The 23680-nt window shown below is 42.8% G+C and overlaps 1 protein-coding gene across 108 annotated transcripts in view, besides 2 other annotated features; it reads left to right on the top strand.

Moving 5' to 3' along the window:
- Positions 1 to 23680, top strand: part of CELF1 (CUGBP Elav-like family member 1) — a 99603-nt gene that overhangs the window by 41478 nt on the left and 34445 nt on the right. For 19 of the 108 annotated variants that reach the window (NM_001376440.1, NM_001376439.1, NM_001376425.1 and 16 more), the window contains one exon: positions 23130 to 23201. The exons of 71 other annotated variants lie outside the window; for them this stretch is intronic. The gene's annotated coding sequence lies outside the window, so the exon portion shown is untranslated. Of the gene's footprint in view, positions 1 to 230; positions 815 to 14421; positions 21096 to 23129; positions 23202 to 23680 lie in introns of those variants that run through there. 18 more of the 108 variants (NM_001376409.1, XM_047426270.1, NM_001376384.1 and 15 more) reach the window with 9 other exon arrangements.
- Positions 10363 to 10502: a silencer, noted in NCBI's record as "silent region_3330". NCBI's record gives its function as "represses an Ori minimal core promoter by ATAC-STARR-seq in GM12878 lymphoblastoid cells {active_cell/tissue: GM12878}" and the evidence as "EXISTENCE:reporter gene assay evidence [ECO:0000049][PMID:35858748]".
- Positions 12937 to 13811: an enhancer, noted in NCBI's record as "H3K27ac-H3K4me1 hESC enhancer chr11:47531803-47532677 (GRCh37/hg19 assembly coordinates)". NCBI's record gives its function as "activates a minimal SCP1, AML or CMV promoter by ChIP-STARR-seq in naive H9 embryonic stem cells {active_cell/tissue: H9 hESC(naive)}" and the evidence as "EXISTENCE:reporter gene assay evidence [ECO:0000049][PMID:30033119]".

Below are 23680 nucleotides of genomic sequence, written 5' to 3'. Positions count from 1 at the left end.
ATGCTGTTTGCGCTGTTTGAGTGCTTTGTAAAGTTTGGCCTTACAGAGGCCTTGTAATGCCTTTTGGTGTCATGTCTGTTTAAGGAATAGCAGAAGACATGACATGTAGACAAATTTCAGGTTATTTTCAGAAGATACTGGGTTTGTTACTGTATTTTAAAAGGATACTTTCTTGGTTTGTTATGAGATATTCTAATTAAACAGTGATGAATTCTTACTCCTGGTCAGTGTAAGTCTAAATTCAAGTTTGTTGCTTTGTTTTACAGTTTCCTTTCACTCCCCTCCCCCATCCCCTCATGAGTCATAAGCATGCAGTGTTGGGAATAGAACTTGTCAGCTGAGTGGGGATGAGACAGTTCTCTGCCCATACTATTTGTAACTGTAGTCAATGAGGAGAGGAAAGGACGTTATTAAATGCTGGAGAAACACCTTGATTGAGGCAGCTTCTTCTGTGGCTGTGTGGTATGGATGCAGAGTTCTGTGTGACTATACACTGATGTATTCTGGCTCTGAATCACTTAGGGATCTCTTCTGCACCTTGTGCATTGTAGGTTTTGGATGCTTATTTGTTTAGGGTCTAGGACCTGGTGCTTAGCCTCTCCTGGATCCTGTATATTTACTGACTTTCCAAATTCTTTTGAGTGTGGCATTATATCTGCTTCATCTTCTCTTTCTTGGCTATTCTTAGTGCCCTTCTCATTTTACTGTCCTAATGTTTTCCCATTTATACTATGAATCATTGTGCACCCTATGTAGAGCCTGTCATTGGAGATTAAAATCAGTGGCAGCTCTTTGATTTTACAGCTCAGCCTCAGTAAGTGACACTCTGATTAGCACACCTATATTCTAGCTTTCTTTTTGTTCTTGGCCTTTTTTAAAATTTATAACTTCCCTGGTCTCATTTTATTAGTTTATATTTTTCCAGTGTGTCCATTTTGAAAGCTTCATGAAAGAAATTTTTTTTTTGGTTTGATGGAAGGAATGAATAAATGTTTATACATAAATAAGTGTTCTCAGAACAAGTGGTTTGGTAATCCATAATGAAGATATACTGGACTCTAACAGGCCCAGTTGGAGGTGCAAGATCTGTCAGCCTATTGCTGCCAGAATTCTTACCTATTCACTTCCCCCTCCTGCTAGGAAATATTTTGGAATAATCTCAGGTACCCAATTTTTTTTTTAAATAAATGAAGCCTATTTTATTACTTCAAGTTTGCTTTTTTTTTTTTTTTTCTGGAGATGGAGTCTCGCTCTGTTGCCCAGGCTGGAGTGCAGTGGCACGAACTCAGCTCACTGCAGCCTCCACCTCCCAGGTTCAAGCAATTCTCCTGCCTCAGCCTCTGAGTAGCTGCGACTACAAGCGCATGCCACCACACCTGGCTAATTTTTGTATTTTAGTAGAGATGGGGTTTCACCACGTTGGCCAGGCTGGTCTCGAACTCCTGACCTCAGGTGATCCACCCACCTTGGCCTCCCAAAGTGCTGGGATTACAGGCCTGAGCCACTGTGCCTGGCGTTTTGTTGTTGTTGTTGTTGTTGTTTTAGACAGAATCTTGCTCTGTCACCAAGGCTGGAGTGCAATGGCACAATCTCAGCTCACTGCAACCTCTGCCTCCCGGGTTCTCCTGACTCAGCCTCCGTAGTAGTAGCTGGGACTTCAGACGCCCACCACCATGCCCAGCTAATTTTTGTATTTTTAGTAGAGATGGGGTTTCACCATGTTGGCCAGGCTGGTCTCCAACTCCTGATCTCGGGTGATCCACCTGCCTTGGCCTCCCAAAGTGCTGGGGTTACAGGCTTGAGCCACCATGCCCGGCCTACTTCAAGTGTTAATGATAAAAAAAATTTCAGCTGGGCAAGGTGGCTCACACCTGTAATCCTAGCACTTTGGGAGGCCGAGGCAGGCAGATCACCTGAGGTCGGGAGTTCAAGACCAGCCTGACCAACATGGAGAAACCCCGTGTCTACTAAAAATACAAAAAAATCAGCCAGGCTTGGTGGCACATGCCAGTAATCCCAGCTACTCGGGAGGCTGAGGCCGGAGAATCTCTCGAATCCGGGAGATGGAGGTTGTGATGAGCTGAGATCATGCCATTGCACTCCAGCCTGGGCAACAAGAGCAAAACCCGTGTCAAAAAAAAAAAAAAATCAGCATAGCTGTTGCATTTTAAAAAGTGAAACTACACACTATGTTTCTAGCTCAGTAAACAGATGAACCTGTTGTCTTTGAGTAACATAACCATTGAGCGTTGTACAGTACATCTTAAGATCAGGTACTTTATTTTGAAGAGATAGAATCATCATGTAACAGGCTGAAATTTTTTGGGACTCATTCTTTTCCACCATAAACACCAAGCTTGGTGCCCAGAATAATAATAGTAGCAAATGTTTATTGAGCACTTTCTATGTGTCAGGCACTATTCTAAATGCTTTACATGTATAAATTTAATTCTAACAAATATCCTGTAAGGTAGATACTGTTTGTGTAACCATTTTGTGCATGAAGAAACAGAGGTATTTATGAAGAAGTTAAACAATTTCCCCAGTTACCTGGCTAGTAAGCAGCAAAACTGGGATTAGAAAGCAGTGGTATGACTCTAGAGTCTAGGTATAGGGTACATTGTGGGTTTGTAGTAAATATTTGTCTATTTTATTAGCACACTTTGTTATTTGAGATTATTAAATTATGAATCAGTCTAACCCATTTTCATTTTAGAATTTCCTTATGAAAATAACTATATGATTTTGGTTTTGCAGATCACCATCAACTGTACTAGTTCATTTATTTTTTATTTTATTTTTTATTTTTGGAGACGGAGTCTCTCTCAGTCGCCCAGGCTGGAGTGCAGTGGCACGACGTCGGCTCACTGCAAACTCCGCCTCCCAGGTTCACGCCATTCTCCTGCCTCAGCCTCCGGAGTAGCTGGGACTACAGGCGCCCGCCACTATGCCCGGCTAATTTTTTTGTATTTTTAGTAGAGATGGGGTTTCACTGTATTAGCCAGGATGGACTCGATCTCCTAACTTCGTGATCCGCCCATCTTGGCCTCCCAGAGTGCTGGGATTACAGGCGTGAGCCACCACGCCCGGCCCTCTAGTTCATTTATTGGTGGTAAAGAACAGCAAGCCAAGTAACAAGTTTGTGAAACATCTCTAAAATTACTAGTTTATCTCCACTAGTACCAGACTATTTACTGAAGATATTGAAAGCAGAATTAATTTTAGCCTTTTTTGGGTCGGGGGGGAGCGCAGGAAGAGATTGGTTCTCACTGACCCAGGCTGGAGGGCAGTGGCACAATCTTGGCTCACCACAACCTCTGCTCCCAGGGTCAAGTGATCCTCCCACCTCAGCCTCCTGAGTGGCTGGGACCACAGGCACATGCCGCCATGCCCAGTTAATTTTTTTGTATTTTTTGGGTAGAGGTAGGGTTTTGCCATGTTGCCCAGGCTGGTCTTGAACTCCTGAGCTCAAGTGATCTGCCCACCTCGGCTTCCCAAAGTGCTGGGATTACAGGCATGAGCCACAGTGCCTGGCCTGCTTCTTTACCTCGTTCCTGCACCACACATCTTCCGGAGATGCCCTTACAAGGGGAGCATGGGAAGGTAGAACCAGCAAGTTTTGCCATATCCATAAACTTATAATCTGTGTGAGAGTGACAGGAAAACACAGAGAAGTCTGTTCAAAAGAAATGATGATGAAGGAATTATTAGTAGGCCATGTAATTCAGTGGAGGGTAGCAAAAAATGTATTGTATCATGGACAGTGTGATGAAATAGCACAAAAATTTGATTTAGACAGGGAAATAAGAATCAGCTCTCCTGAGATTTTTTAAGTCTTTCACATTTATGGTAACATTTTCCCTTAGATAGATGCTCTCCCATGTTTCTTGTTTCTAGTGCAAGTCGTATTTTCTGAACAAGACCATTAACTCCTTAAGGACAGGGATTGTGCCTTTTTTTTTGGTATCCTCTTTAGTTCTGGGTATATAGTAGATGTTTTCTAAAAATGTAGTTGCTTTTTTGATTGATAGATCTCCTGGCTTTTTTTTTTAAGAGCTTGTTTTTGTAAAAATGAAATCAAAGCACTGACAAGTTAAATTTTGTGGAACAGTTGAGTTTTTTTAGGAGTGATTTGAAGGATGTGACAGATGATTTAAGTGGGTATTTAAATGTGAGAAGCACTCCTTTTTTTTTTTTTTGAGACGGAGTCTGGCTCCGTCGCCCAGGCTGGAATGCAGTGGCACGATCTCAGCTCACTAAAAGCTGCGCCTCCTGGGTTCATGCCATTCTCCTGCCTCAGCCTCCCGAGTAGCGGGGACTACAGGCGCCCACGACCACGCCCAGCTAATTTTTATTTTCAGTAGGGGTTTCACCGTGTTAGCCAGGATGGTCTCGATCTCCTGACCTTGTGATCCACCCGCCTTGGCCTCCCAAAGTGCAAGTGCTGGGATTATAGGCGTGAGCCACCACGCCCGGCGAGAAGCACCTTTAGGAGCACAATTGCAGAGTGATGAAAGCATGATAATTGAAGTACCTTATTTATTTATTTATTTATTTATTTATTTATTTATTTATTTATTTAGAGATGGAGTCTCGCTCTGTCACACAGGCTGGAGTGCAGTGGTGTGATCTCAGCTCACTGCAACCTGTGCCTCCCTGTTCAAGTGATTCTTCTGCCCCAGCCTCCCAAGTAACTGGGATTACAGGTTCCCGCCTCCACGCCGGGCTAATTTGTTTGTATTTGTAGTAGAGATGGGGTTTCACCCCGTTGGCCAGGCTGGTCTCGAACTCTGACCTCAAGTGATCCACCTGCCTCGGCCTCCCAAAATGCTGGGATTACAGGCCAGCCAAAGTAACTTTTTTTAAAAAGTGATAATAGAATAGAATAGAATTTGTCTTAGGGCTGTGCGTCCTTTAGGGTGAATCAAGCTTTGCTGAACATGTTCCCTGATTGGCTGAAGCAGAGGTACAAAATTTGCATTTTCTGGCCTATAACCTAACTGTCTCAGGAAGTGTCTCTACAGAAGTAGTTTCTGGTTTCTCTAGTTTTATAGAATTAAGAATTTAAGAACAGAAAGAAAATAAAGTTTCCTGCTTTTCAACAGAACAGGGCAAAGCTCCTGAAACAAGACCATATGGAAGCATCCCGCATGAGTGCCCGTGTGTTTGATGGTGAGGTTGGGGCAGATGGTAAAGGCAGGGTTCTTGGCTGCTTGGTCAAGGATTTTGGAGATGATAGAAGTTAGGTGGCTAGTGCTAAGGAAAGACTGTTGTATGTTGTGTGTATTGGGCCTGTCTGCCTAAGAGGTGGAGCAGCCTCACAGAGAGGAAGGAAATTGATGTGTTTGGTAGGGTAGAGGTGGTAAGATAAGAAAAGAGGCAGGGGAGATGCAGAGTTGGAATGATAAAGCTTGCAATTGCATCTAAACCTGCCCCTGAGATAAGGGAGAGAGAGACAAGATATTACAGTGTGAGAAATAAGATTCCAGTTCCCTGGTGTCTTCTGTTCTCTAGAGCCTTCAAGTAAGATACTGCAGGGACTGTAGGGTTTTTCTGTTTAAACTTGAAGCTCTTTTGATTCCTTTTTGAGATACAAGCCAAAAGCTGTATTTATAGAACTTGTTTTGACATATTATCTCACCCTGTCCCTTGCCTTCTTTACTGGAATCCAGCTAATGTTGCACTTTGCCTTGGCAGGAAAGGTTGATTGAAGAAAATGTATAGCTATACAGCTGAGTGATTGAAATAGCTTCAGACTTTGTAAATAGGCCATACATGATGAGGTCCCAGCTGCATGAACGTTATTTGAGTTGCTGGGGTCATTTAAAATGGTGTGATGTAATTATGATATACTGCTGGATCACCTGGACAATGGCAGTTTCCACACAGAAGTTTCAGGCAAAGCAGGAAAAAAATACAAAACCAAAATGCTGTTTTGGAAAAGAGTATGAGTTGAGGTTTTTCTTTACTTTGTGCTTTATAGTTCCACGAGTTTTCCTTTTTTTAAGTGGTAGGAATGGACTTATGGGTTGCAGGGGGAAGTGGACAAGGGGATACGGTGTCTGCAGGCTAGGTTGCCATGCTCCAAAAGCTCAAGTTTTCTTTAAAAAAATTTTCAGTAGGCCGGGCACAGTGGCTCGTGCCTGTAATCCTAGCACTTCAGGTCGATCACCTAAGGTCAGGAGTTCGAGACCAGCTTGGCCAACATGGTGAAACCCCATCTCTACTAAAAATACAAAAAAGTAGCTGGGTTTGGTGGCAGGTGCCTGTAATCCCAGCTGCTCGGGAGGCTGAGGCAGTAGAATTGCTTGAACCCGGGAGGCGGAGGTTGCAGTGAGCCAATATTGCGCCATTGTACTCTAGCCTGGGCAACAAGAGCATAACTTCGTCTCAAAAAAAAAAAAATTTCTGTAGAATAGGTAACGTGTTCACATGTAAACAATTCAACCACTGTTCCACCTCTACAACTACTGTTAGCAGTTATTTCTTTATCCATCCAGAGATACTCTGTTCATATACAAGCCATGTGTAATTCCTTTCTTATTATATGAATACGTCTTGATCAGTTAGCTGCCTTATTTTCTTTAATAGCTACATAGTGTTCTGTTGTATGGTTATACTGTATTTAATAGCCTTCAATTAATGGGCATATGTTTTCAGGTTTTGCTGATGTAAACAATGTTCTTATGAATGCCCCTTTGCATACTTTGTATACATCAGATACAAGATTATTTGTAAACTATATTTCTAGAACTGGGATTGCTGAATTCAAAGGGCATGTCTTTTTTTTTTTTTTTTTTTCTCTGTTTGTTTTTTTAGACAGGCTCTCTCTCAGTTGTCCAGGCTGGAGTGCAGTGGCATGATCACAGTTCACTGCAGCCCGACCTCCTGGGCTCAAGTGATTCTCCCGCCTCAGCTTCCCAAGTAACTGGGACTACAGGCACGTGCCACCACACCCAGCTAATTTTTGAATTTTTTTGTAGAGATAAGTCTCACTATATTGCCTGGGCTGGTCTGGAACTTGTGGGCTCAAGCAGTCCTCCCAAAGTGCTGAGATTATAAGTGTGAGCCACTGTGCTCAGCTCAGTTTTCAATATTGATGAGATACTATCCCTTTTTATATTTTGCAAGTGATATTATCCATTGAAAAATACTAGTGAGCTGGGCGTGGTGGCTCATGTCTGTAATCCCAGCACTTGGGGACACTGAGGCAAGTGGATCACCTGAGGTCAGGAGTTCAAAACCAGCCTGGCCAACATGATGAAACCTTGTCTCTACTAAAAAAATATAAAAATTAGCCAGGCTTGGTGGCTTGGGCCTGTAGTCCCAGCTACTGGGGAGGCTGAGGCAGGAAAATTGCTTACAACTGGGAGGCAGAGATTGCAGTGAGCCAAGATCATGCCACTGCACTCCAGCCTAGGCGACAGAGCGAGACTCTGTCTCAAACAAAAAAAAAAAAAGAGAATATTATTAATGGAGATGGGGAGGCCTAATAATTGCAATGTCAGTCAAGCAATTACCCTAAAGAGTTGCTAGAATAAACATAGGATCTGCAATACCCGGAAGATTTAAGAAACCCTCTTGAGATGAGCTTAATTATCAGCTGTAGCAACCATTATTGCTATTATTGTTGGAGAAGAGGCAGGTTGCCTAGAGGAGGTGGAAGCAGCTGCTCGCCTTCCTTTTAAACTAAATTCGGGGGAATTTGGTGATACTAGCTAAATCTGCAAGTCATCTCTATTTTACTTTCAGTGTATTAGAGCATTACTTTCACTCACTTATTATGATCTTGACCAATTCAAAAAACATTTGTGGTCCATGGGCCATTCAGTCCTTTTCTCTCTCTCTTTTTATTTTTATTTTTTATTTTGAGACAGAGTCTTGCTCTGTCACCCAGGCTGGAGTGCAGTGACATGATTTCAGTTCACCTCCTGGGTTCAAGCAATTCTTCCTGCCGTAGCCTCCCAAGTAGCTGGGATTACAGGCGCCTGCCACCATGCCCAGCTAATTTTTGTATTTTTAGTAGAGATAGGGTTTCACCATGTTGAACCCGGGAGGCAGAGGTTGCAGGGAGCCAAGATTGCACCACTACCCTCTAGCCTGGGTGACAGAGCAAGACTCTATCTAAAAAAAAATAAATAAGTAAATAATAAAGAGAGGCAAAGTAATATTTTGAGTTTCCCAATAAAAGGCATTTTACAAGCTGCCTTATTTTACCAAATACAGCACTGTGACTCAAGAAAGTCCAAGTCCCAGTGGTTGGTTGTGGAACCCAGGTCTCTTAATCCCTTATCTTCCCTTTAGTTCCTTCATCTGAAAAATGGGAATGAAAATGCTGAAGAATCTCCTTTGAGCACTCAGAAAAATAATTATAGTCCTTTCCAAAGGTTATGTGTTATAATGACTCCGCAAGAGACATCAAGATTATAAGGTGATTTTAAAAGTCGCTCTGACAGGGCTTGAGAAAAAAATTAGTCACATTCTGCCTACATGGTACTAACATATGGTGCAGCCCTGATGAGCTGCACAAGTGGGCTGAAATCAAAATGCAGTTGGAAAGAGGAGCAGTAGTGACTCACTAGATAAGACAGATTTGGCCTCATGGCAGGGCAGTGAAACTAAGAAGGAACTGTGGTCTTAGAACATGCCAGATTTGAGCAAGTGATCATGAATATTATGGAAAGGTTGAATGACTGAGCCTTTGGGTTTGAATTAGGTACTTTGTCTGGTGTCACAGTCCTTGGAGCGAGCACCCTCCCTCGGTGGGTTCAGAGCTCCCACTCCCTCCACCTCCCTCACTTCTGTGTATTACTTCTGTGTATCATTCCCTGTGCCTTTGAAGGTAGAAGCCACCAGGCAAATACTTAACACTGGTGTGCCTGGAACATTGGGTTCAAACTGCAATGATAGGTAGAAGCGTTAGTAATTCTGCCCAGAGAAAGCTGTGCATTAGCTTAGCTACCATATGTAAATTGCTACTGCTGCATCCAGCAATTTGTTGTCCATTGTTGACAGTACTGCCATGGTAAAGAAACAGGAACTATAGAAAGAATTAGATTCCTCCTCCCACCTCCCAGCTCTCACCACAGTAGGAAGCTGTTTGGGGAGCAGAGAGGAAATACGGGGGATTTGAGAGTTACACCCAGTGTGTGGGCATTTGGGGAGGAAATAGGAAAAGAGATTTTTTAAATTATTTTATTTTTTGAAACAAGGTCTTGCTCTGTCAGCCAGACTGGAGTGCAGTGGCACGATCATGGCTCACTGCAGCCTCAAATTTCTGGACTCAAGCAATCTTCCTACCTCAGCATCCAAATTAGGGCTACAGGCGTGCACTGCCATGCCTGTCTGATTTTTTTTTTTTTTTTTTTTGTAGAGATAGGGTCTTGCTATGTTGCCGAGGCTGGTCTCAAACTCCTGGGTGCTAGAGATGTTCCTGCCTTGGCCTCCCAAAGTGCTGGGATTACAGGCATGAGCCATCATGCCTGGCCAAAAAGAGATTTTTAAAAATGTTTTTTGCATGCTCTGTTTGCCTCATCTGAGTGCCTCTAAAATAGGGTGTCTCTCAGGTGAGACGACCTCTGGTTTAGGTGCTTATATACTCATGGAAAGATCATATAACTAAATGGGAGGTGAGCTAGATTAGGGAGGTAGTTCTATTTATTGGTTGTGAATATGCAAGGATGCTATTGGCAGAGTCAAGCTTTAGGCCATTTGTGGCTCTGATCCTTTAATAATGGCTGCTTACGAGAAAATGTTTATCATTGTTAGGTGCAAAAAAGTAGGTTGTGCAGTATTATACTTAGTATAATATTGAATTTGAAAATTCTGTGTATTTGAGGCCAGACATGGTGGCTCATGCCTGTAATCCCAGTACTTTGGGAGGCCAAGGTGAGCCCATCACTTGAGGTCAGGAGTTCCAGCCTGGCCAACATGTCGAAACCCTGTCTGTACTAAAAAATACAAAAATTAGCTGGGTGTGGTGGTGCACGCCTGTAGTCCCAGCTACTTGGGAGGCTGAGGCAGGAGAATTGCTTGAACCCGGGAGGCAGAGGCTGCAGTGAGCTGAGATCATGCCACTGCACTCCAGCCTGGACAACAGAACAAGACTCCATCTGGGGGGAAAAAAAAAAGGAAAATTTTGTGTATTTGAGTGTTTGTACATTTTATTGTATGCATGGAAGAAATCCTGGTAGAAGATAAACCAAAATATGGTTGTAAGTATAATTAATTAAAGTTGGGGAAATGGAAAAATTAAAACAGGAAGGAATACTTATGAAATATTTTGTTTAAAAAAAAAAAAAGAGGGTGGCCGGGCGCAGTGGCTCACGCCTGTAATCCTAGCACTTTGGGAGGCCGAGGTGGGCGGATCACGAGGTCAGGAGATCGAGACCATCCTGGCTAACATGGTGAAACCCCATCTCTACTAAAAATACAAAAAATTAGGCGTGGTGGCGGGTGCCTGTAGTCCCAGCTACTCGGAAGGCTGAGGCAGGAGAATGGCATGCACCCGAGAGGCGGAGCTTGCAGTGAGCTGAGATCACGCCACTGCACTCCAGCCTGGGTGACAGAGCGAGACTCTGTCTCAAAAAAAAAAAAAGAGGGGGTGCTGCCCACATGTTGCTTTTACAGTACCTGCAATTTCAGGGGGGAAAACCCCCAAAAAACTAGGAAGTGCAAGTATGTCTCAATTCAGGAAAGTTCATAGAAACTTTACAAATTACACCAGATAAACTGGGGAATTAAGTTCAACAATTGAAGGTCTGATATGTGTTACTTTTATTCAGGTGTTCTGTGGATATGAATATAAATGAGAAAGTTGAAACATAGTTCACTAACAACATTTTGAAATGAGATTAAAATCACTAACAACATTTTAAATGAGGTGAATTGTATGTGATGTGGACTAAACTAGATAGCTGTTTAAAAACTTGTTTAGAGAAAATACAATTATAGTTTTAGATGACCTAGTGTTAGTCTAGATTAATCTAGTCCCATCCTCTAGGGATTGGAAGTCCAAGAGGGGACCATTCTAAGAATGGTTGTGAACCCCTTATAGAATCTGATGAAAGCTGTGGATTTTGTTTTCAGGAAATCTCACTTGTCCATTTTCACACGGTTTAGCATAAAGTTTAGTCTGTTTAGCCTAAAGCATTGTTGGGCTTACAGGCCTCCAGCTCCTGAGAGGTCTGCTTCCCGCTTGATCCTTTTATCTGTTTACTTGGCTCTCTGGAGCATGAGAGTAGGTGAACATGGAGTTTTCCAAAGCAGGGGGCCTAACTTACTTATTGAGCTAGGCATGTAACAGGAAGAAAGAAGTAAAGGGCATTGCAAGCTGACCAAAAAGTAATACTTTAAAGAGAATATACTTTTCCCAAGTTATTTCTATTATTTGTCTTTTTTCTCTTTTCCAGTTAAAAGTTTGGGCAGGGTGCGGAGGCTCACATCTGTAATCCCAACATTTCGGGAGGCTGAGGCAGGCAGATCATTTGAGGTCAGGAGTTCGAGACCACCCTGGCTAACATGGCCAGACTCTGTCTCTACTAAAAATACAAAAAAAATTAGCTGGGCAGAGTGATCCCTCATCTCTAAAAAAAAAAAAAAAAAAAAAATTCTGGGCACGGTGGCTCATGCCTGTAATTCCAGCACTTTGGGAGGCCAAGGCAGGTGGATCATGAGGTCAGGAGATCAGGACTATCCTGGCTAATACAGTGAAAACCTGTCTCTACTAAAAATACAAAAAAATTAGCCAGGCTTGGTGGCCAGTGCCTGTAGTCCCAGCTACTCAGGAGGTTGAGGCAGGAGAATCGTTTGAACCTGGGAGGCGGAGGTTGCAGTAAGCAGAGATCATGCCACCGCACTCCAGCCTGGGAAACAGAGCGGGACTCCATCTCAAAACAAAACAAAACAAAAAACCGGGCACAGTGGCTCACTCCTGTAATCCTAGCTTACTCTGGGAGGCCAAGGAGGGTGGATTGCCTAAACTCAGGAGTTCAAGACCAGCTTTGGCAACATGGGGAAACCCTGTTTCTGCTGAAAATACAAAACATTAGCTGGGCATGATGGCTTGTGCCTGTAGTCCTAGCTGCTTGGGAGGCTGAGGCACAAGAAGCACTTGAACCCGGGAGGCAGAGGTTGCAGTGAGTCGAGATCATGCCACTTCACTTCAGCCTGGAAAAGAGAGAGAGACTCTGTCTCAAAAAAAAAGTCAGACTCAACTTTATGGCCCTTAGCATTTAAACAGACTTTCTGTGGGTTATGTGCATGAGCTTCCTTGGAGACAATTTTTAACCTGAAGCAGCCTTCTTAGCCCGGATCTCTGTGATCTTGAGGGAGTCATTTCATCTCTGTATCTTTTCTCATCTGCAAAATGGAGATAGCGTACGTATGAGGATTAAATGTAAAGCACCCAAAACAGGTCATAGTGTATGGTAAATGCTCAAAAAATGTTAGCTCGTACTTATTGCCACTTTACAAATGTCTAGACATTTCTCTTTACTTTTAGGTGATAAGGGTTTACAAACTTTAAATGCCATATTCCATCAATTTGAAGATGCACATTTATTAGCACTGATGGTATGTTAAATACATTGATTCTAAAGATAGAAAAATTTATTGTTCAAAAAACCATTTATGTCAAAGCCAGATATAATATTGATGAATTATCTATTGTTTGAATTATTTCATCTAGTTCTCATATTTCCCAAGAGGTTATCCTGAGGGCCAAGAGAGACTGACAGTTGGGGCCTGCCTCTCCCTCCTCTATCTTTGACCTGAACAGCCTGACTTTCATGTTTAGGAGAAAAACAGTTCTGCTTTTAAGATCGTTTAAAAACCTCTAATCTGGATAGTAGTTAGATTATTTTTTTGTTTTGGTTTTTGAGACGATCTTGCTCTGTTGCCTAGGCTGGAGTGCAGTGGTGCCATCACAGCTCACTGCAGCCTCGACCTCTGGGCTCAAGCAATCCTCCCACCTCAGCCTTCCAAGTAGCTGGGACTACAGACACATGTCACCACACCCATCTAATTTTTTTTTTTCTTTTTGGGTAGCAACAGGGTTTCATGATGTTGCCCAGGCTGGTCTCAAACTTGTGGGCTCATGCAGTCCTCTCACTTGAGCTTCCCAGAGTGTTGGGATTATAGGTATGAGCCACTGTACCCAGCTAAATTCTTTTTCTTCCTGGCTAAATTCTTTATTAGCTCCCTGTCTTATATCAAGGAAGTTTTTCAAGGAATTTTAAGGTTGCTTACTAACAGTTGTTAGTTAAGAGTGAGTTGGCCAGATGCGGGGGCTTGCACCTGTAATCCCAGCACTTTGTGAGGCCAAGAGGGGGTGGATCGCTTGAGCCCAGGAGTTCAAGACCAGCCTGGGCAACATGGCAAAACCCCTTCTCTACAAAAAATACAAAAATTAGCCGGGCGTGGTGGTGCACACCTGTAGTTCAAGCTACTTGGGAAGCCGTGGTGGGAGGATTGCTTGAGCCCAGGAGGCGGAGGTTGCAGTGAGCCGAGATGACACCGCTGCATTCCAGCCTGGGCAACAGAGCGAGACCCTCAAAAACAAAAAACAGTGAGTCTTACTAATGAGGCCAAGTTCATGGGTTTAGGACTGATGTATGTTATTGAACATCATCGTGCCACAGGCCCTTGTCTCTGGACTTTGTGATCTAGCACGTGCTATGTAAGAGCTGCTGATGGTGACTGAGTCAGTGCCAGTCATCCTGGGAAAGACAATATTTTGTCATTTACTCAGCATACAAGCTGTATAGGCCAGTAGAAAACACTAAGAATAAAGAGCTTATTACCTTGCCTATTCTAAGAAAGGCTTTTAGAGGATCTGAGAGCCTTTTCTGTCAGTGAAGTTAAAAAACTTCTTATGAGGTTGTATTTTAAATGTCTTTAAACATTTATCGCAGGTAGATAATATTGGAACTCTCAGCTAGCTTGCCCTTCATCTTGCTCTCACCACTCTCCCTACTTCCTTACTTTTTTTTTTCTTTTTTGAGACAGTATCTCACCCTGTTGCCCAGGCTGGAATGCAGTGGCGGGATCTCGGCTCACTGCAACCTCCGCTTCCCGAGTTCAAGTGATTCTTATGCCTTAGCCTCGCAAGTAGCTGGGATTACAGGTGCACGCCACCATGTCCGGCCATTTTTTTTTTTTTTTTGAGACACCACACCCAGCTAATTTTTGTGTTTTTAGTAGAGATAGGGTTTCACCGTGTTGGCCAGACTGGTCTTGAATTCCTGACCTCAAGTGACCCGCCCACCTCAGCCTCCCAAAGTGCTAGGATTACAGGCGTGAGCCACTGCATCTGGCCTAATGTTTGTATTTTTAGTAGAGACGGTGTTTCCTCACATTGGCCAGGCTGGTCTGGAACTCCTGGCCTTAAGTGATCCACCTGCCTCGGCCTCCCAAAGTGCTGGGATTACAGGCATGAACCACTCCTGGCTGTTCCCTACATTTTTTTTGCTCCTTTTTCCCTTTAGCCTTATTTTGGAGTGGGGTGGGGAGACAAGGTCTCACTGTGTGGCCTAAGCTGGAGTGCAGTGGTGCCAGCATAGCTCACTACAGCCTCAAACTTCCGGGCTCAAACAGTGCTCCTGCCTTATCCTTCCAAGTTGCTAGGACTACAGGTGTATACCGTCACACCCAGCCCCCCTCTTAGCTTTTTTACTCCTCTTTAGAACCACCTGTGTACTTCCTGGTTCTTGCATTGTGATAGAGAAAGGTAGAGATAATGTTAATAGAAACAGACATCCGTGGAGTTCCAAGGAAATACAGTACAAACAGTTCAGGCTTTCTCACAGAGCATGTGCCCTTTGGTTCCCCACAGAAATGAAAGGAAAGATGTAAAACAGTCAAAGCTTTTAGTTTCCATTCAGCTCTTCTCTCTCACCAAAGCGTTTCAGTTTTCTCACAGAATAGGCAATAAAATAACATAGGAAAAGCAAAACTGGGAAGACAAAGCTTTAAAAAAATATAACTTTTTTGAGGCCGGGCACGGTGGCTCACCCCCTATAATCCCAGCACATTGGGAGGCGGAGGTGGGCGGATCCCCTGAGGTCAGGAGTTCGAGACTAGCCTGACCAACATGGTGAAACCCCATCTCTACTAAAAACACAAAATTAGCTGGGCATGGTGGCGCATGCCTGTAATCCCAGCTACTCAGGAGGCTGAGGCAAAGGATTGCTTAAACCTGGGAGGCGGAGGTTGCAGTAAGCCGAGATCGCGTCATTGCACTCCACCCTGGGCAACAAGAGCGAAACTCCGTCTCAAAACAGCCTTTTTTGTGTATTGGACTATTCATTTGCCCTTCTCCAGGTGACAGAATCCTGTGTGGAAGATTACAGTGTTGTTTATTTATGTGTGTGTGTGTGTGTGTGTGTTTGAGGTTTCCTTTAAAAAGTCTTGGTGGCTTAGGAGTAGGATGATACCCTGTTTATGTGGAGGTTTTTTGTTTTTTTGTTCTTTTGGGTTTTTTTTTTTTTTTTTAAAGAAATTCATTTTTTTTTCTTTCTCTTGGCCTGGCAGTTAAAATGTTCCTAGCCCCCTGAGGGCTGCTATGTTCTCCAGGACTTAAGATACCTGTCCCTTACCCTTTTGTGTATTGGTCTTTCTTAACAACTCCAGATCTCCCTTTTGCTCTCTTTATCTTGGAGATTCCCTGACTAGCTTGCAGTCTGAGTCTCGTCTCAGAGGGTGGAAGTGATGCCTATGAAAAACCAATCACATAATAACACTGTTTTTCAAACTGTGTTCCACATAAAATTTGGAGGGAAATGTGGTTCCCTGGCCTTTTCTTTGACTTTTACATCTTCCAGAAGAACTCTTAACAGGTAGAAATTTAACTTGCTGTCTACCATCTGTGATAATCATTACAGAGCCTTCTCAGGACACACTATCTCAGTAAAAGTTGATATCTCCTAAATTATGGTCACATTTCTCTAGAGAGACAGACCTACCAAGAAGCCACGGGCAGGTTATCTTCCTTAGCATCTGAATCCTTAGGGTAGTCCTCACCTTAAATGGTCATAATGATAAAGGATTGAATGAAGTTTGTGAACTTAGTAAATGGAAGTTCCTTTCTTCTTGGTAACTTTTGATGGTAGAGGCAGGTGCAAGTAAATGCTTTTAGGAAGTTCTGTTTTTTTTTTTAATTAGTTTAAACTTTGCCCTTAAAATTACTGGAACTATCACTACTTTATTAGCAAAATTGGAAACTAATTAAATCTGCATGAAAAGTTAATACTTGAGCACCTATTTTATGCCAGTTAAGAAATCTCTCTGTCTTCAGGGAGGATAGGCAGTGTCTTACTAGTTAGTTCTGGGTCTGGCTTTGTCTTTCAGAATTCTTGTACTTTCCAGTTTAGACATTGTCCTTGGTGAATTTGAATAGTTTATTGTCTGTAGTGAAAGCCAGACAGAAATACAGCTGGCAGGAGTTGTATTTGGAAGTTTGTAGGAATTTGGGCAGTTTTATAGAATCAGTCTTTACTTGCAAGATTGTTCGATATGCTTAAAAATAAAACAAATTGGTTTTGTGGTTCCTCTGTTTGCTTTTACCATCAATTAACTTCCCCATCTTCTGATTTTTTTTTTTGTTTCAGTGGTTCACCGCCACCCTAGGGCCACCAAGATGCATTTACAGTGGCAGGAACGTGGTTGCTTTTGTAGAGTTTCATGCCCGGCACCTATGTATTCAGGAAGGTTGCTTTGGGGAAATAGTGTGGTCTCTCCACATGAATAACACGATCCTTAATTGCTAAAAGAATTATACAGCCATTAGCTTTTCTTAGTCTCCAATCCAAAAGCAGATGTTAAAAATGATTGTTTTGGTGACCTAGATGTACTGAAATTCAACCTCATAAATTTTAGTCATTGTTTTGCTATTTGTTACGACATTTTAGGGCAAGACTCTTTTAAACCTTTTAGTATTTTACTTCCCCCATCGTTTAAGTTGATGGTGTTTTAAAATTAGCCTTGAGATATTAAATGCAACTTATCTTTAAGGCATTGAGTAAAAAGGGCGCAGGAGGAGTACTTCTGTATTTTTATCTTCTGCCATGGTGACAGAGGGGCTTTTCTTTGGAAAGAGGTGATATATCTGGAGTCATGAGAGACGTCTAGGCATGGCCCACTTATTTTTCTTTCCTTGGTTTTTTAGAGTGAAGACATAGTCCAGAGAGGGAAGTGTAAAGCTACAGGTATGGGCTAACTACTGAATGGGTGTGCTCCGTGGCTATCTTTTTAACCTTCTTGCATGAGGCCTGCTATGCAGATATGAAAAAGTTGCTTTCAGAAAGGTGATGGCTTCTTTTGTACATTATGGGATAACATTTGCAAAATGTGTGTCCCTGGGAAGCTAGAAATATTTTCTTGCCCTCTTTTCCAACTCTTTCTCCTTAGCTATTTTCCAAGGCAGGCTTATCTCCCACTAAAACTAGCTGCTTCCTAGTTCTTACAGCTGTTGCGGTGAGCGTGTGTATGTTGGAGGGAGCCGGGAGGAATACTCTACACCAGACTTGTCCAACCCGCAGCCTGTGGGCTGCATGTAGCCCAGGACAGCTTTGGATATAGCCTAACACAAATTTATCAACTTTCTTAAAACATGAGATTTTTTTTTTCTTTTTTTTGAGCCGGAGTCTCGCTCTGTCACCCAGGCTGGAGAGCAGTGGCGCGATCTTGGCTCACTGCAACCCCTCCGCCTCCCGGGTTCAAGCAATTCTCCTGGCTCAGCCTCCCGAGTAGCTGGGATTAACAGGCCTGTGCCACCACGCCTGGCTAATGTTTTGTATTTTTAGTAGAGACGGGGTTTCATCGTGTTAGCCAGGATGGTCTCTATCTCTTGACCTTGTGATCCTCCCACCTCGGCCTCCCAAAGTGCTGGGATTACAGGTGTGAGCCACCGCGCCCAGCCTGCAAATTTTTTTTTTTTAACTCATCGGCTATCATTAGTATATTTTATTTGTGGCCTAAGACAATTCCTCTTCCAGTGTGGCACAAGGAAGCCTAAAGATTGGACACCACTGGAACAGAGATGAGGACGGAACTTAGTAGATTCCATGCACGTACTAATACCTTCCTTGAACCAGAATTTGTTCAACATACTTTTTTTTTTTTTTTTTGGAGACAGAGTTTCACTCTTGTCACCCAGGCTGGAGTGCAGTGGCACGATCTCAGCTCACTGCAGCCTCTGCCTCCTGGGTTCAGGCAATTCTCGTGCCTCAGCCTCCTGAGTAGCTGGGATTACAGGTGCCTGCTACTGTGCCTGGCTAATTTTTGTATTTTTGTATTTTTAGTAGAGACAGGTCTCGAACTCCTGACCTCAGGTGATCTGCCAGCCTCGGCCTCCCAAAGTACTGGGATTACAGATAGGAGCCACTGTGCCCGGCTAACATACTGATTTTTTTTTTTTTTTGGAGACAGAGTCTCACTCTGTCAGCCAGGCTGGAGTACAGTGGCACGATCTCGGCTCACTGCAAGCTCTGCCTCCCAGGTTCACGCCATTCTCCTGCCTCAGTCTCCTGAGTAGCTGGGACTACAGCTGCCTGCCACCATGGCCGGCTAATTTTTTTGTATTTTTTGTATTTTTTTTAGTAGAGAGGGGATTTCACCGTGTTAACCAGGGTGGTCTCGATCTGACCTCGTGATCTGCCCATCTTGGGCTCCTAAAGTGTTGGGATTCCAGGCATGAGCCACCGTGCCTGGCCTAACATACTGATTTTTAAATCAGCACTGGAGCTTAAATAAAGTGTAAACTTACAGTATATTGTTACCAACTAAGAAATGCACTTAAGTTCCAGAACTAGTGTGGGATCTGAAAGTATGACTTGATTGGAAGGGTGGTCACAATTTGACAGGACTGTTGGGTCAGTGTTACTGACAGATACTCCAAGGAAGGCTCTGAGGCTATACTATTGCTGAGTACACAGCAGTAGTACAGAGCTGAGTACAGAGTCTTTCTGTGATTAAGGATAGGGGAGGAAATGGAAAACTTTTTCGTTTTCAAAATGGTGATGTTTTTGTCATATCCTTTCAGTATACTGTATGTGGTAATTTTACAGGCAAGGCAACTTGTACACAACAAATTATTAAATGTAGTGCTTTTTTGGTACAGTGATTTTAGATTTGAAATGGAAATTTTTTTTTTTTTTTTTTTGGTGACAGAGTCTCACTCTATCGCCCAGGCTGGAGTGCAATGGCATGGTGTCGGCTTACTGCAACCTCCGCCTCCTGGGTTCAAGCGATTCTCCTGTCTCAGCCTCCCAAGTAGCTGGGACTACAGGCACCTGCCACCACATCCGGCTAATTTTTGTATTTTTAGTAGAGATGGGGTTTCACCATGTTGATCAAACTGGTCTAGAACTCCTGACCTTAGGTGATCTGCTCACCTCGGCCTTCCAAAGTGCTGGGATTAGAGGCGGTGAGCCACCGCGCCCAGCCTGAAATGGAGGTTTTTTATGTTTTATTTATTTTGTTTTGTAAGGCAGGGTCTCACGCTGTTGCCCATGCTGGAGTGTAGTGGTGCGATCAAGTATCACTGCAGCGTTGACCTTCCTGGGGTCAGGTGATCCTCCCACTTCAGCCTCACAAGTAGCTGGGACTACAGGTGGGCACCATCATGCCTCACTATTTTTTGTATTTTTTTGTAGAGATGGCGCCATGTTGCCCAGGCTAGTCTTGCCTGAGCTCAAATGATGCTCCTGCCTTGGCCTCCCAAAGTGCTGGGATTACAGGCGTTTCCCACTGTGCCCAGCCAGAAAAATTCTTTTTACAATATTTCTATTTCTTCTTTAACCCCCCTCCCCCACCATTCAGAAATTTTTACATTGTCTAGATTCTTATGGAAAACTTATTTTGTTGTTTTGTTTTTTGTTTGTTTGTTTTGAGACAGGGTCTTATTCTGTTGCCCAGGCTAGAGTGCAGTGGCTCAATCTTGGTTCACTGCAGCCTTGACCTCCTGGGCCCAGTCACTCCTCCTGCCTCAGCCTCCTGAGTAGCTGAGACTACAGTATGCATCACCACACTCAGCTAATGTTTTGTATTTTTTTGTAGAGATAGGTCTCTCTTTGTTGGTCAGACTAGTCTCAAACTCCTGGGCTTGAACAGTCTGCCCACCTTGGCCTCCCAAAGTGTTGGGAATATAGGCGTGAAGCCTGTGTTCTTGCCCCGTAAATTATTCTTAACCGTCACATTTTGTAACAATAACAGAAATCTTCCACAAAGTGAAATGCCACAGAGATAATTACCAGTTTGTGTCACCATATTTTACCTATGCAAGCAAGGTACTTGGCTGGGAGCTCAGGAGACCCAGTAGTTATATTAGAAATACTCGATTTTAGAAATGAAATTTAGGTCCAAAAAGGTACTGTGCAAAAATTTAAGTTACTGTAGTTGGTTATTTTCAAGTATCAATTGCTTACTTTTTTTCTCTCTTATGAAACTTGGGGGTAAAATACCCAGTCCACTTAGCAGCAATCTGAGGTTATAACCATTCCCTAGATTTTTGCAATTTGAATTCCCTCATATAGATTGATGGTGATTTTTAATGACATTGATTCCCTTTTCAGTAGTAGCTTCTAATCTCCTCTGTGCTTATATAACTAGACTTTACTTTATTGCCCTTTCAAACATACTTAGATTTATTGGGGTGGAAGTGTAAAATCTGTTCACCTGTTGTAGAACTCCCTGGTTATATCTATCAAGGTAGACATTTGCATATGCCAACTAGGCTTTTTTGCTTAACTGTGCTTTTGTTTGCTTTTTCATCCTTTTGGCAAAACATACTGTGATTGCTAGCCTTTCTCTTTTCTAATCCAGTTTTACATCTTCCTGTTAAGTTTATACTATTCCTATATCCTAAATGCAATGAATGCTGTTCTTTTGAGTGTTTTTCTTACCTATATTGATCACTTTTAATGATTTGGGTTCTTAATGTTACAGCAGGCTGACTACTCCTACCTTCACTTAATCAGGCTTTGAATTGTTGCTCTTTTAAAAAGTAGAGAATATTCAAGGCAGAGAATACTGAGACAGACGGACAACCAGGGAGAGAAGAGGAAACCATGAAAGTACATTCAGAGTGAAAGGAACAGGTGATGAAAAGAGGCTGAGGGAAAGTTAAGGCCTTCTTTTGCAGCAGACCCTTGGTTATAACCCCTCCTGTCACCTCTGTATTTCTAATGCTTCCTTTGTGGGAAAAGCCTGGAATGTCTATCTGATTTTTTTTTGAGACAGAGTCTCACTCTGTCGTCCAGGCTGGAGTGCAGTGGCGCAATCTCAGCTCACTGCAACCTCCGCCTCCCGGGTTCAAGTGATTCTCCTGCCTCAGCCTCCCGAGTAGCTGGGATTACAGGCATGTGCCACCACGCCCAGCTAATTTTTTGTATTTTTAGTAGAGACAGGGTTTCACCGTGTTAGCCAGGATGGTCTCGATCTCCTGACCTCATGATCCACCTGCATCGGCCTCCCAAAGTGCTGGGATTACAGGCTTGAGCCACCGTGTCCGGACTAATTAAGACATTAAACACACACACACACATACACACACACGCACACACGGGCAGTTTTTTGTGAATAACTTTCTTTTAATTCTACTTTTAAATTTCCCTTAATATTTGCATTTTTGTATTCCCATAATTGCTTTTATCACTTAACTTCATAACCTCTTTCTAAAATTGACTTGTGATTAATTTCTGTGCTCTCTTTTCCCAAAGTATGTTGAATTTAATTATACTGAGATAACTCTGGTGACCTGCCTGAGAAGAAGTGCCCTCTTTCATGTAATAACATTTCCATCTTGTAGGTTTTTAAAGCGGTGTTGCTTTATAAATCATAAAATGGACTTTAATAGCAGTATAAGCACAGAGAATTTATGGGCCCTGCTTTCTATTTTCAACTGCTTTATAAATTGGGCCTCTGGAGACTTCTTTTGAACAAAAGTTCTATGACTGGGAAAAAATGATTTTAAGACATTACTCTAAATCATATTTCCCAGCCCTTGGCTTGGTGGAAACTATTTTAAGGAGAGCACATCTTTTCATACATTGGACAGTGCCTGGCAACTCAGTAATGTCTCCATTTAAGTAGTCTTTTGTTATAGATGTGATTCTGATTTGAACTAGAGATACAATTAGATTTCATATGTTTTTAGGAAATATTAAAAACACAATAACCTTGAAATTTAGGTAAGTTCCTTGAAATTTATTGAATCCTTTTTAAAGGATTTTTTTTTGGTGGGGGAGACGGAGTCTTACTGTCGCCCAGGCTGGAGTGCAGTGGCGTGATCTCAGCTCACCACAGCCTCTGCCTCCTGGGTTCAAGCTATTCTCCTGCCTTAGCCTCCCGAGTAGCTGGGGTTACAGGCGTGTGCCACCTCGCCCAGCTAATTTTTTTTTTTGATATTTTTTAGTAGAGATGGGGTTTCACTATCTTAGCCAGGCTGGCCTTCAACTTCTGACCTCAGGTGATCCGCCCGCCTTGGCCTCCCAAAAGTGTTGGGATTGATTACAGGCGTGAGCCACCATGAGCTGTTGTTGCTCAGCCTTTTTAAAGCCTGGAATGTCTTTTTAGAGGAATTCTTGCACTAAAAGATCTAATTTGGTTGTCGACTCAGTTATTCTTTGGTCTAGGCAGCTTTCTATAGGAAGAGGCATGCCATCAGTTCCAATGTACGTAGGAGAAACTAGGACAAACATAGCCAGTAATCTAACCAGCCCCAGCTAGGGTTACCATCTTCTGCCTGACAGGCATGGGCTTGGTAAACTGTGTACTGTGTGTCAGTTGCACAGTCTCCTCTCACTTGCAGTTTGTTTTTGCCGCTTTAATAGGGTGGAAGAGAGCTCCTGCCACTTCTGCCTCTATAGTAGTAAATCAGATGAGCGAGTCTCTGGCAAAAATAGAAAAAGCAGTAAGCTGCTGTTACAGTACAGTTCTAGATTTTGGATGATGACGTCTGGACATGGACAGAAGAGACAGTTTTCACCTTCCTGGGTCAGGTGCAGACAGATGTTAGCCATTGTTACACAGATTAGAACTTCTAGGCCTATGCCATTGTGTGTTGCCTTTCTTTTTTTTTTTTAACGTTAACTCTGTGTGTTTAGTAGTTCATTCGTTTTACTTCTTTGCAGGCTGAACATAACTTCTTTTTTTCAAAGTTCCCTGTGTTGTGAACTGAGCTTGGGTGAAGTGAAATCTTTGAGGTAAGGCAACTCTAATGATAAAAATGGAAAGAAAGCCTGTGAAATTTGGGAGCCTTCAGAGATAACATTTTAGAGTCACTGCCTAAATATTGAAATGCCGCCATTTGTTGTTTGGGGGGATGTGGAGCTAAATTGAGAACGGGAGCACACATCTGCCTTGACTGCTAAGTATATCCATCTCTACTGCTCACCCATAATAGAATTTTTATGTGTGCACTCACTAGTCTTGGTTTTATCAACAGTTTAAAGGAGGAAAAAGAGAATGAAGAGACTTCATTTCTTGGTTTTTCCCTTACATGTTTGAGTGTTGTCCCTGGTAGGCCCTAGTTCTTTTTCATTATTATCACTAAAGTGGCTTTTGTTCTTTGTTTCTTTAGAAAGGACAACAGAGAACTGAAAATACATTATTTCCTAGTATGCTAGTAAGAAGCAGAATATTACTATTCCATTTTTATTTTCTGGCAGATGAAGCTTCAGAG

Source organism: Homo sapiens, chromosome 11, assembly GCF_000001405.40.
Source record: "Homo sapiens chromosome 11, GRCh38.p14 Primary Assembly".
NCBI lineage: Eukaryota > Metazoa > Chordata > Mammalia > Primates > Hominidae > Homo > Homo sapiens.
The sequence above is the reverse complement of the archived record's forward strand: the minus strand, read 5'-3'. Positions and strand labels throughout refer to the sequence as shown.